This window comes from Homo sapiens, chromosome 3, assembly GCF_000001405.40.
Source record: "Homo sapiens chromosome 3, GRCh38.p14 Primary Assembly".
NCBI lineage: Eukaryota > Metazoa > Chordata > Mammalia > Primates > Hominidae > Homo > Homo sapiens.
Window position 1 is genome coordinate 153,728,074 of NC_000003.12, and position 14,929 is coordinate 153,743,002.

Here is a 14,929-nt window from a genome sequence, read left to right on the forward strand (position 1 = left end):
ATCTTGAACAAGAATGTTATGGACATTCCACACATGGTAATTAATTACCACTTTGAAGTCGTGAGTGCAAAAGGATGCCTACTACCTAGTATGCTGGTCAGGTTTCTCTAATGCATTCATTCTATTTTATTCTACTTCTTAAAGGAAGCCACCTTGGAAAAGGCTTGTTGGCATAGGTTTGGTTGGAAATGAATATGAATGCTCACACACTAAATCAGTGGCTCTCAATTCTAGGAGAACATTAGGATTACAGGAGAGTTTAAAAATGCTGATGCCTATGGCCCATCTCAGACCAATGCGATCAGAAATCCTGGGGTTGGGATTGGAAACTGCGTGTGTGGTGTTATTTTTAATTTTTTCCTGTAATTTAGTGTGCTATCAGGATAAAGAGCCTTTATATCAGATTTTTAACTTCTTAAACTTAGAAACTATGTCTGTGTGATTTGCCTTTTTATCCTAGTGCTTACTACAGTGCCTGGTATCAGGGTCTCCCAGAAGTCACGATGCAGTTTTAAGCTTTAATAACTGTAGAAGCATAAGTGATACTAATTGACAACGAACATCATTTGAAAGCTTGATTGTATTTCAATTTCACGTATACCTACTTATGACTTTTCATTAATAGACTTTTAATTTTTTGATTTTTAATTTTATTTTTTACCCCCACAGACACTATGGTGACTTATGCTTCAGTCCATCTGATTAATGCTGGCAAAGACTAAAAATTATTAAAATTAAAAATGTTTATTCAAAATTCACAAATAAGTGTAGAAGAAGTGAAAGTAATTAGCCTTTTCAGGTGTTCCTATTTGTAAGTTTATAGTATGAAAAAAAAAGATATGAAAATATTAAAATTTAAAACTACACTAAAATATTTGGAAAATGCAGAATAGTAAAGGATCAAACATTATATGGTTGAATCTTCATCTGAATGTTGAAATCTACTGCCTATCAGAGGTTTTGTTTCAGTTCTATTCTGACATTACTGTAGGAATGCCTTTGGCTGCATGTAAAAGAAAACAGTGCTTTTTAAAAAGAATAATTTGTTTTTGCATAACTAGAAGTCTGGAGTTAGGCAGCTGCTGATGTTGGTTTAATGGTTCATTAATGCCAGGGTGGTTCAGCCCTCCTCCACAATTCCAAGATGGCTTCCATAGCTCCAGGCTACACCTTCAAAGGGTAGGGTTAAGGTAGTAACACTGGCTGCTTGTGACTAATATTTTTATCAGAAAAATGTATGCTTCTCCCAGCATATGTTCACTTAGGTTTCATTAGCTAAAACTATATCATGCAGCCACCCTCTAGTTACAAAAGTTACTAGGATAGGATATAAGTATTTGACTTCTCTGTCTTCTATTTTGTTGATAGAAAAGAGAGTAAAGTCAGGCATGTATTTGCTAGCCAAACAAGTTCCTGTTATCCTTAATTTTTGTCCCATCTACTCTATTAAGTGTGAAGTCAACTACTTCTGAAACTAATGGGTCTTTTAATTGTTAGATAATATTCTCTTTTCTTCTAAGAGAATACAAAGTTTTTAGGGAACCAGAACTTTTAAGGCTTTTTCTTAATAATAAAGATTGTAGTCAACAAATATGCTTTCTCAATTCAGGGAGAAAAATGATGAAACCAATTCCATCGAACCAGTGTGGTAAGAGCCATTAATAAAGGCTTTGAAATTGTATTCCACGTGGAATGGGAAACTGAAGGACTTTGGGCAGAGTAAAAAATATGACAAGTTTTGTATTTTTTAAAGGTTTTGTGGAAAAATGAGTTGGTGAGGAACAAGACAAACACAAAGAGGAATTTCTTACAAGAATATGCCAAGTATTCCATAGTCTCTTTCTTTATTGGAAATAGGGAAATTAGTTGAGATTACTGCATTATCCAGGTAAATATTGTTCAGACTAGAGTGATAGTTGTGGATAGGGAAAGAGGTGAACAGATACTCTGGAGACAGAATTGACAGGACTTACTGAAAGGTTGGAAGTGATTGTGAGGAAGAGGCAAGAAGGAGAGCTGACCCCAGAGTTTCTGGCTAGAGAAGAAGATCAGAACAGTCCTGAGAAGGGAGATCAAGAATTTAATTCTGAAAAGGGGAACTAGAAGAAATCACCCATGTACACTTTTGCACTTATATGGCAAGACTGGAGTACAGAGGAGATTGGCACGAACCCTTAGCATGAATGATACATACATTTACAAAATGTTTCATAATTTTAATCACATTCCTAAAAAGTATAAAGAAAAAACAAACTAAAATATTATTACTATGAAAGATTAATGGAGTAAAATCAAGTGTACTACTTCATACAGTAAAGCAAATTAATATAATCCTCTTATGGAAGAGCAGAATGACAAATTTTTTTAAAAATTTTAAAGGATTTTAAAAAGTTATCGATTATTTTCAATAATCATAATGCTATAAATAAAATTAGAAAACATGGAGATGGTCAAAGGGATGCTAAAACATTCAAATTAAAAAATCAGGAGTTGCAGTAACATCATTCAGGGTGAAATACAAGGATAAGGAACTTAGTAGGACCAAAAGACAATATGTATGATTAAAAGCATTGTTATGAAGAAAATATAGCAGTTATAAGTTCATGCATCAAACAACATGGTCACTCAACTCAGGTTAAGTGAATATCAGAAATATTTATCACAAAAATATGATAAAATACCTTTATGCTTTCATGCTGAGACTTTAATATACCTCTTTCAGAATCTCACATACCTAGAAGATAAATAAACAATGTCAATTATTAATAATACTATTAAAAATCTTCATTTTACGTTGGTTAAGATTGAGATATCTCCATATGGAGATGTTGGGTAGGCAGCCCAGGGCTCAGAACAGCACATTACAATACAACATATAATGCTTTAATGTCTACATATAATTTACAAGGGGAGGTAATAAGTTCTTTTAGTATCTCAAAACCTCCATAAATTAAGGGCTGACATTTCTCTGACCAGACCTTACTTTGTTTAGCTCCATTACAGTGGGATAAAAGTTGTAGACATTAAGAGATAGAGACTATTCACAAAGGTTTTACTACTTCTTTATTGCCTGATAAAGAAAATCCTAAGCGAAAGCCAGATACTACATGTACTACTTATAGTCCTCTGGCAAATGTGATAATTCTTCAAAAGTTCAAGTAGCCTGAACAGCATATTTATCTAGCTTACTTGGTCTTTGGGCAAAAACAGAGGGCCTCACCTGCAACTCAGACAAGTTTATGGGGCATTACCAAGCAATTATTTCAATGGGGTAATATGTTCTATCTTGTTTTATTACTTTCCTTGGAGCAGAAACCAAGGTCCCAAGTGACATCCAATTATAGTTCTTAGTTCATTTGAGGTAGGTTAAATGGTGACATTGAGTCACGAGTCACAACATCCTTAACCTCATTTGAACACCAAAAGACAAGATTTTTTTCCTATTCTCCAAAAGAAGCGTCAAGCAGCAAATATAATTGCTAGACAGGGAGAGATTTCTTACATGAATTTGCAATATATGTAATTTGTCTTCTTTCATTGTTACAATATGTATAATTTATCTTGTGGGAAATGAATAGGTCAAGGGCACAGCAGTCTTTTTGCAGCTTGATTATTAGTCACAGCTTATTAACACCATATTCTTCCTAAGAGAAATAAGAAATGCCACAGCATTGTGATATCAGAGAGTCTCAAGAGGGACTCCCATAACACTGAGACACTGATTCTGTCAGATGATTCTACACATATATATTTAAAGTATAAACATGTAGTTTGCTTTCCTAGCCTATTAAAATATATTGAGGAGACTATGCTATACTTCATTCCAATCCATCCAACTTTCTAGTAATAAGAAGTTCTCTTAAATGAATGGAAGATCTATAAGCAAAAGAAGTGGTTTTGAAACCTCAGCATGTTTCGGGGAAAGTCTCTTTCAAGGCCGCCTCTACATCATTGATTGGATTTAGATTACTAAATGTATTCAATATGATGTGTTTTTGGAAAGTTGTACTTCAAAGTCAGATTCTAGTGGAGCCCAGCTCATCAACAACGTATTCACTACTTGAATGATGCAATGACTATGGTAATAATCTGTTTGCCTTATTACAATGAAGATCAAAGACATTAGCTTTTTAAAAAAATTATGGTGGAAATACTCATTAATTCAACAAAAAGTTTTTTTGCTCCTACCATATGCCAGACACCATTCTAGGCACTGAAAATATGGCAATGAATATGGCAAGAAAACATGGCAAGAAAGTCCTTGCCCTTATGGAGCTTATGTTATTTTGACAAACGGACATGAAGAGTAAAGATGGAAAAGGAAACTGAAGAGGTAGATATTTACGAACAGGAGAGGCAAAAACAAATGGTGGCTTGAGGCATGTCCAAGTAAAGTCAGAGGAATAAGAGGGAAAGTAGTAGTTAAGGCTTTCCTAACAGCTAAAGAATAAGAGAGCCTTAGGAAGAGTTAAACGAGCTTAGACAGAAACATATCTGGCTTCCCATTGTTTTCACTTCACCATACAGATGGTAAGATCAAAATGGGGGGAGAGGGAGACTAAATCTACAATAGCAATCATCTAATAAACTATAGAGGCCATTTTGAAGAATAAGGTTAAATTAATAAAAATTAGATTAGCCCAACTAGGTATATTAAAATATAAACATAGATCATCTAGTCATCATCATCTTTAAACAGAAATAATTGCTTCTGTCCATGCTATCATTGGAGAAATATCTCCCCACTTTCCATCCCTTTTTTCTTCTTCCCACCCATATACCTTTCTCTTCTGAAAAACCCAAATAGGAGATAAAATCATTTCTTTTGAGCTCGTTCTCTGATCTCCTCTTGCACACATGCTTATACTTTCTGAGGAGCATGCTGGTTGGAAGATGAAAACTGTCCAGAAGCTGGAATGTACTGACTGGATATAAAAAAAAGCACAGAGGTGTTTGAAAATTATTCTTCTCTATGACTATTTATATCAGCAAATTTAGAGCCTGAAATTTTTTACTTCAGAGAAGATCTAGACACTGGATTCTCCTTTTTATTTCTTAGGTGTTCTTAACCTTAAAATTCTTGATTATGGACAGAGAAAACAGAAGTTTATGAAATTCTTCTCTTTCCCAATTTTTAAAGAGATGCTAGGGCAACAAACTTTGGGTTTCTAATTCTACTCTTCAGTATATTGTTTTATGGAAACCCTGCTTAGGGGTTATATTTAGAAAATAAACACTTTTAAAGGTATTTAAGTTTAAAACAAGAACCCTGCCTTAAAGAAAAAGATTAATATGTTTTTGCAATGCACATACTTTAACACAATTTTGATCCAAAATATCATGTTAACAGGATATATTGTTTCACTTATTTGTTAGGTCAGTGTGCCATCGTGATGCTGCCTCAGTGGCCATGAAATATTTTGCTTACAGTTGTCATAGGTATCTCTAAGGAAACAAAGTGGGGGAAAAATTATTATTTGTCCCAAAATATGTGAGACTTAAAAATTTAGAATTTTGGATTTTCCTCTGCCTCAGATAAATCAAAATGTGCTCGACATATGAGGGTCCACTGTTGACCAAACAAGAAGAATACTCTAGTGCAATATATTGTTTAGAGTAGTGGTCCTAGAACTTCTTTCCATTCCAGGGTTGGGGAATCACAGCTATAGTGCCATCTGTAATGTGAGAGCTTGTTTATGCCCATGCCCCCTGTTGGTAGCTAGTTTTTTATGAGTATTGTGCACATGCTTCTTACCGTCACATTTCAAACTGCCCCTGCCCCACCTTTATCCTGTCTTATAATACAAGTGGAACACATAAAGAAATATTCACAAAATAGCAAGTAGATGAAGTTGGCCTCAGCAGTTGGCAATTACCAAAACAAAGTCAAGGAAAGGGGAAAGGGGGTACTCAGAGCCAGCCAAACTGTGATGTTTGAGGGCATGGTCCTCAAAACATCCAATTTTGACATCAACTATAAGTTCGGGGGTGCCCCATATGACCCTCAAATTTGATAATTTGCTAAAGGGACTCGCAGAGCTTACTGGAAGCTATTATACTCACAGATACAGTTTGTTATAGGGAAAGAACACAGATCAAAATCAGCCAAAGGAAGAGATACGTAGAGTCTGGGAGAGTTCCTAGCAAGCAGCTTTTGTTGTCCTCTGTGGGGCTAGAACAGGTGACCCTCCCGGGATTGAGTGTGACAGTACACAAGAAATATTGCCAACCACAGAAGCTCACCCAAGCTCAGTGTCCAGAGTTTTTATTGGAGCTTCATTATGTAGACATGATTGATTGATTGATTGCCCTTCTGGTTGAACTCAGCCTCCAGGTCAACTGATACTACCTGTCCCAAAGACCCTACCTTAAATCACATGGTGGTTCTTTCTGATGTGACCAGCCCCTGCCCAAACAAAGAGACTCATAAGAGGTCATGACATAAATTATCTCCCAGAAGCCTAAGGAAAAGGCCAGACCTATCTTTGGGCAAAGCCAAATTATTCACTACATAGAGAAAGGCCAAAAGTGACTACTCATAGAGGCACTCAATAAATATAATTGAGATGGTCCTCTGTGCTATGAAGGAAAACATGGTGACACAGAGATTTGAAACCTATATCACTTTAATTTTTCTTGGCTGAGATTATGATTTTGTGATAGGTAAATTTGAAATATTTGAAAAAACAAAGCACATTTCTAAGATTATTTCAGCAAGAACACTATGATTCTCAAAAGAACTGGCAATAGTGACTATGTTGGGAGTGGAGCTTCCCTAAGGCCACTCCCAGGTTTAATAATTCACCAGAAAAACTCACAGGACTTAGTGTATAGTCATACTCATGACTAAGGTTTATTGTAGCAGAAGAATTTAGGGCAAGACCAACAAAAAGAAAGGGCACATGGGCAAAGTTCAGGAAAAAATAGGTGCAATCTTACAAGAGTCCTATCCCAGTGAAGTTGCATAAGATGCATTTAATTCCCCTCCTCTGTGAACTGTGACAACATATGTGAAATGTTGCTAACTAGGGAACTTTGTTAGAGCCTTAGCACCCAGAATTTTGTTGGAGAGCTGGTCACATAGGCATTAAATTAAATTAAATTTGGCCCAAGCCTGCCTCTGTACCTTGAGTCTCTATGTACCAACTGCAACCTAGTTTACTACTTAAACTGAAAGCCTAACTTGAGAGTATATTCTTGTAACAAATAGCTGAATCTTAGCCAATCACAGCAGCCAAGCTCAGTGAATTACAGCCTGCCAACTTATCACAACATGCCCATATAAGGCAGATACCTTGCTGTAGCGATCAAATGAATTCTCTAGTTTTCTTCTGTGTCTGGTCTACAAAAGCTCACTGCTCACACTACTGAGTGGAGCTCTCTGAACCTTTACTGGTTCAGGGTACTGCCTGATTCATATATCATTCTTTGCTCAAATAAACTCTGCTAAATTTAATTCCTCTAAAGCTTTTATTTTAACATAGATAATATCTACCAGGCACAGATCAAAATTCCAGACTCCCAGAACAAAAGCAAATGTTCAGTACAAATGAATTGTTTGAACAAACAGTTTAGCCATAGTGAGCTACTCTTATGTGTTTTGGGAATGGTGGGAATCCTCTTGAAATCCAAGTTCCCAGACACCAGTGAAGGGCCAACCTTATAAACAGACCTTTCAAAAGATAGCACTTAGTTCATTTCTGCATAGTGGTACAGCCAAAGTCTCAGGGAGTGAAGAAATACAAGAATGTCATATTCAGAGCCAAACACTAGGGTCAGTGGGGAAACGTGCCCCAGCAACTGCTTCAGTGGGAAATTTATACTGTCCATAGCCAGAGATTTGGGAATTCCAGAGAGTATTTTACATCCTCACATAATTTATAGGTCGGCTTTCAGTGAAAGAAGGTGTTAAAATGAACCTCTATTTGTCTCACTTTGATTTCCCTAAAACAATAGGTGTGACCTCTCCTATATTCCAAAGTGAGTTGCTAGGCCAACCATATAAGACATGCAAAGAAGGTGGATCAAAAACAGTTAAATAATCCTTAGCTTTCTCCCCAGCCCCTGAAATGTTTGAAACTGAAGTTTCAAACTCATGGATAAGGACATCCATTATTCTACATGGATAAAGACATCCATATGTGTGACACACTCCTGTGAGTAGGTTATGTCTAATCCCCATGTGTCAGTGGATATTTTAACCTTCTTTTCCCTACTCAAAACAACATATTGGAATGCAAGTAAGTGAGAATGACATTTCTGTAAGCCAATCTTGAATCATCTAAATTTTTTAAACAGTAAATACCTTTAAAACTTTAAAAAAATGATTATTAGTGCAAAATGCATGATTGATTGCAAATGAGCATTATGTTGAGAATCACTCGGTAGTGAGCAATAGGAAAGCTTTCAACATCTTTGGAGTCGATACAATCAGGAGTATGCTCCAGAAGCTACATTTGGTAGGTGGGAGATGGGAGGCAGGGAAACTGGTGGTAACAGTCTTAGTGGAAATCATGAGATAGTGGCAGTAAACATACATAGGGGATGATGGTGGGAGTAACACAAGTAGAAATAGGATGAAGATACCGGTGATGAATGAAAAATGAAAGAGACTAGTTTAAAATAATCCTGAAGTTTTAGGGGGTGGGGCCAAGAGGGCCAACTAGAAACAGTGGTATTTGGAAGCTCCCATCGAAAGAACCGTAGTAAGTGTGTGAATCCTTCACCGGCAACCAAGGTAGCCAGGTTCTCTCATCAGAACTGACTAGGAGGCTGGCATGATCCACAGAGAGGAAGGAAGCACACAATTGCTACAAAGAGAATAAAATATCTAGGAATACAGCTAACAAGGGATGTGAAGGACCTCTTCAAGGAGAACTACAAACCACTGCTCAAGGAAATAAGAGAGGACACAAACAAATGGAACATGGATAGGAAGAATCAATATCATGAAAATGGCCTTACTGCCCAAAGTAATTTATAGATTTAATGCTATTCCCATAAAACTACCATTGACATTCTTCACAGAATTAGAAAAAACTACTTTAAATTTCATATGGAACCAAAGAAGACCACTTATAGCCAAGACAATCCTAAGTAAAAAGAACAAATCTGGAGGCATCACACTGACTTCAAACAGTACTACAAGGCTACAGTAACCAAAACAGCATGGTACTGGTACCAAAATAGACATAATAGACCAATGGAACAGAACAGAGGCCTCAGAAATAACATCACACATCAACAACCATCTGATCTTTAACAAACCTGACAAAAACAAGCAATGGGAAAAGGATCTCCTATTCAATAAATGGTGCTGGGAAAACTGGCTAGCCATATGCAGAAAACAGAAACTGGACCCTTTCCTTATACCTTATACAAAAATTAACTCAAGATGGATTAAAGACTTAAATGTAAAAATCTAAAACATAAAAGCCCTAAAAGAAAAACTAGGTAATACCATTCAGGATATAGGCATGGGCAAAGACTTCATGATGAAAATGCCAAAAGCAACCACAACGAAAGCCAAAATTGACAAATGGGATCCAATTAAACTAAAGAGCTCTGCACAGCAAAAGAAACTATCATCAGGGTGAACAAGCAACCTACAGAATGGGAGATAATTTTTGCAATCCACCCATGTGACAAAGTTCTAATATCCAGTATCTACAAGGAACTTAAACAAATTTACAAGAAAAAAAAACATCAAAAAGTGGGCAAAGGATATGAACAGACACTTCTCAAAATAAGATATTTACATGGCCAACAAACATGAAAAAAGCTCAACATCACTGACCATCAGAGAAATGCAAATCAAAATCACAATGAGATACCATCTCACACCAGTCAGAATGGCAATTATGAAAAATTCAAGAAACAATAGATGTTGGCGAGGCTGTGGAGAAATAGGAATGCTTTTACACTGTAGGTGGGAATGTAAATTAGTTCAACCATTTTAGAAGACAGTGTGGTGATTCCTCAAGGATCTAGAACCAGAAATATAATTTGACCCAGCAATCCCATTATGATTATATACCCAAAGGAATATAAATCATTCTACTATAAAGACACATGCACAGGTATATTTACTGCAGCACTATTTACAATAGCAAAGACTTGGAACCAACCCAAATGCCCATCCATGATAGACTGGATAAAGAAAATGTGGCACATATACACCATGGAATACTATGCAGTCATAAAAGTGAATGAGATCATGTCCTTTGCAGGGACATGGATGAAGCTGGATGCCAATCATCCTCAGCACACTAACACAGGAACAAAAAACCAAACACCACATGTTCTCACTCATAAGTGGGAGTTGAACAATGAGAACACATGGACACAGACAGCAAAACAACACACACCAGTGCCTGTCGGGGGTGAGGGGAGGGAACTTAGACGACGGGTCAATAGGTGCACCAAACCACCATGGCACACGTATACATAGGTAACAAACCTGCACGTTCTGCACAAGTACCCTGCTTTTTTTTTAGAAGAAATAAAGAAAAAAATAAAAATAAAAATTTTAAGCATGGGTTTCTAAAAAAGTTCAGAATAAAGATCAAGTTTTAGAAGAGAAATGAATTCCATTTAAAGCAAATGAAATGTGTGATACCAGTGGGATCCCCAAATATGGATGTGCAGCTTGCAGTTAGGAGTGTGAGAGATGTGCAGAAGATGGATTGGAGGCGGACAGTTATTATTTGGGTGTTATCCACATACAGGCAATAAGGTTGATGGGTGTTTCTTTTTCTTTTTTTTCTTTTTTTTTTTTTCTGAGACGGAGTCTCTCTATGTCGCCCAGGCTGGAGTGCAGTGGCGCGATCTCGGCTCACTGCAAGCTCCGCCTCCTGGGTTCACGCCATTCTCCCGCCTCAGCCTCCCGAATAGCTGGGACTACAGGCGCCCGCCCCAATGCCCGGCTAATTTTTTGTATTTTTAGTAGAGACGGGGTTTCACCATGTTAGCCAGGATGGTCTCAATCTCCTGACCTCGTGATCCGCCCACCTCGGCCTCCCAAAGTGCTGGGATTACAGGCGTGAGCCACCGCGCCTGGCCGGTTGATGGGTGTTTCTAAGTGCCTTGTCAGAAAATGAGTTTTCTAGTTGTTGACATTATTTAACTATTTCATTATCTATATTTGTGTTTTTAAAAGAAAATGTGTCTATAAACTGTAAAAATCTTAATAAATTCTTAAAACAAAAAGTTTAAGTAATCATTCCTGTTAGATGGTAGATCTCTTAGGTTAGTGAAAGGACTCTTGAGAAGAAGCCAAATTTTAAACTTACTTTTGTTGTTAGAGTGTTCATATTAAAAATAATGTGTATGTACACACAGACAGACAGACACACACACACATACACACACACATATATTTAGGTAGAAGTAACAGAAGAGGCTTTGCAAATACTACTTAGGATAAAGGAAAGATATGATAGTGAATTTTATGTAAAAGTGATGGTTTGTTCACTGACTCTGTTCAGTTCTACTTTTCCTCATGGAGCTTTCATCTTTTTTCAGTCTTCATTCCTACACAAGGTATCCAAGTTCCTGCCCTCTGCCCAGGCACCTTACAAGTGGCTAGAATTATGGTGGTGTTTCCATAGAGACAACAAGGGAACAGTTCTTCCTTCCTTTCCTCTGTGAGTTGTTTGCACATAAGGATCTTCCAGTTTTTAAAACTCGTTCTTGCTTTGAAAATGGGCAGAGGAGAGGAAAAACTGTGCTTGGTGTACCAACGACAGGAAGAATGAGGAGGGAATGTTCATATTCCTTCCAGGCCACACTCGTAGCATGTCTATTTCTTTTCTTACAATAAAAGATGTTAGGCAGGTTTATTTGTTTGTTTGTTTTTCCCACTTGAAAGATCTTTAAAAGTAGGAATTATATCTTACCCAAGTCAACTAGTGTTTAGTGAGTGAGTACATCAGTGAAAGAATGAACAGAAAATGTACTTTTATTCTTGGGAGAGAAAGATGTTTGAATAGAACTTTTTCTGTTCATAACTTTTGAATACACATTCTGTCACTTTACTCAATGGAATTGCATGAAGTAATTTTTGAGATACAAAAACTAAGATAATTGTGAAGTTAAGATGTGAATCCAAGTCTTCTTACTCCAATTAATTGCCAATTTTTACTCTATTACACTGCGGCTCTGGGAGAATGAGAGCAATTAGAACAATGATGTCCTGGGCTAGAGAACAAGGATGTTTATTCAATGACACGTGTAGATTAGGCCAATAAAAGGCAGGTAAAGCCAGTGTAACTAGCAGCCCATTCAGCTAAACCCCATGAAGTGTTTCCAGACCCTGTCCCCAGTCACTTGTGGTTTCTCCACTCTCTTCTTTTGTTTAATGCAGCTGATCACTGATGTATTGATTTGCTTATTACTTGTTTCCCCTGGCTACAACTTAAGCTCCAAGAGAACAGGGACTAGTCAACTTTGTTCACTGCTGTCTTCCCTGGTGTGTAGAGCAGTGCTTGGCAATAGCTGTCCTTCAATAAATACTTTTTGAGTGTACGAATGTATAATTTTAGAACACTCATTGTTCTATTCTTTAAGTATACTTTCCTTAATAATTTATCTGTGAGAATGAGGGCAAATTTATATAGAAAAATTAAGAAATAATACCAGAAGCAATCTGGTATTGATATTTTTATCAATTTTTTCTTCCCTACGTAAAGTACACTCCACTTGTTTCTGCTGAATGTAGTCTACATTTTAACTACTTTTTTAAAAAAAATAGCGCAGAAGTTATGATTTTAATATACATTTCTAAGTCACTAGCTCCCAAATTGGAGTCATTGACAAATTTAATCTTATTTAGTCAACTATGACCTAATTCCATGAGGACCAAGGCCATTGGAAAGACCCTTTTTTGATTAACGCAGAAATTTCATGAGATGATTTTCCCATAACAAAATCAATAAAGTATTTCAATCTTCGCCTGTAAAATATAGTACCTTTGCTGTTTAGCCAGAGAAAATACAATCTTAGTTTTAAAGACTTCTTTAAGCATCGCAACAATTTTGCTGTTCTTGGAAGAACTTTATCAATATTTCACATGATATTCTTCTCTGCAGGAGAACCTAAGAAAAATATTCGATTAATCATTGTGATATTAAAACTATCTGTCACTTGTAGCATGCATATGTAATAAAGTACTCAAGATAAAATTGATATCAGAGACAAATGGCCCACATTAAAAATGTCTGCTTGAAGCTCTAAAATTGTTCCTTCTTATGATGATCTCAATAACTAAACCTCTCAATTTGCAAATGAAGATAAATGCTAAGATAATTTTTTAAACTAGAAATCGTGAAGTAAAATAAAGAGAGAACTAAAGTGGCTAACAATGAAACACCTGTAATAAATGTTTACAAACTTGTTGAGACACATTAATCTTCATCTCCTTGTTATTTTCTTAGACATTTACTTCAAATTATCTGTAATTCTATTTAAAATGAAACTAATCGAAGCATGTGAACTTAAGCAAGTATTTTTAATGTATTTGGGTTTTTTTTTAAACGTACATCTGAAGAGTTAGACTAGAATCAGTATGTCCTGTCAGATAATCCATTAAAAATTTGGGGAGGAGGAGAAGGCCGAGGATAAAATTAAAGAATGCTACATGACAAAACACTTCTATTTGCCTCCCAATATCCATCCCCCACAACTTCCTCACCAGCAAAATCCTGATTTGGTTCAGAGTGACAAAATGTCCCTGGTTTAAAATCTCACTTCCACATAATTTTGGACTTTCTGAAACATGGGTTTCTGAAAAAGTTCAGAAGAAGGATCAAGTAACTGAGTTCTGGCTATGAAATTTAAGCAAAAACCTTCTGGGTGAAATCCCTACATAAGCAATTGTAACACAGTGGCAATAGATGTGGGAGTCTTCCTAAGAACTTTAGGTTGAAAGTCACCTAAAACATTAGCTGAGCAGGAAAATGGAAAGAGCTCAGGATATGACCACTTAATCAAGCTGTTGAACCAGCCCTGAATTATTTTTCCCTGGACTTCCGTTCATAGGGTAAAGAAAACAAAATCTCTCTTTGGGTAAGCCAGTGTAATTGAGTTTCTCTTCCATGCAGCTGAACCAGTCTTTGGTTCATAAAGTCCCTCCTTTGGTCATGTATATCTTTATTTACATAATAAACACTCTGAAAAGCCCCTACAATATGAACACCCATTTAATTTTATTTAATACTAATTTATCAAAGATATTTGATTATGAGATACCTGATATTTCTCTATGAACTTGCAACCTAATGACCACACTTCAGTAAACATTTAACTAGAGATTTCACAAAGCAAAAAATTAGCGTTCTGTAATTACATAATTAAATATCTAAAAGGCTATGTTCATAGTCATAATTGTTTCTGAATCTCATATTTCTTAGGGAGCATTGTTACCAGTGACAATTATTAACATAAGCCATTACTCAAAGAGTTAGCATCCTTTGAGGAGCTTAAGCAAAATCTCTGAAAATTATCTTTCTTCTTTACTATAATTCATTCAAGGTAACAGTTTGTTGAAACTTAGTGCAGGTGATGATCTATCTAATTCTTAAAGAAACATAAGCAAGACAGAATGACACAGCTTTTCTTTTTCTTTGGAGTTTATGTCCCCCAACTTCTAATATTATGAGCACTTGGTCACCATTCTCTCTTACTGGTATTTGAGCCACCTCTCTTTTTTCTCTACCCTACAATAAGGAGAGAAAAGCACTCAAATTTTCTTTCATGAGCCACCTCTCCTTTTTCTCTACCTTACAATAAGCAGAGAAAAGCACTCAAATTTTCTTTCATATACATGAAGGAATTTACATTAATGCATCAGCAGTGAATGTGACAAACTAATAGACTAAGGTACTCAACAAATGAAATGCTTAGACCATACTAACATATTTCAAATAAGTAT

The 14,929-nt window shown here is 36.2% G+C and overlaps 1 long non-coding RNA gene across 1 annotated transcript in view; it reads right to left on the minus strand.

Moving 5' to 3' along the window:
* LINC02006 (long intergenic non-protein coding RNA 2006) overlaps window positions 1-14,929 on the minus strand; it is a 378,977-nt gene that overhangs the window by 344,524 nt on the left and 19,524 nt on the right. Inside the window, exon 2 of the long non-coding RNA NR_146713.1 lies at window positions 2,682-2,734. This is a non-coding gene — a long non-coding RNA (long intergenic non-protein coding RNA 2006). The remainder of the gene's footprint in view (window positions 1-2,681; window positions 2,735-14,929) is intronic.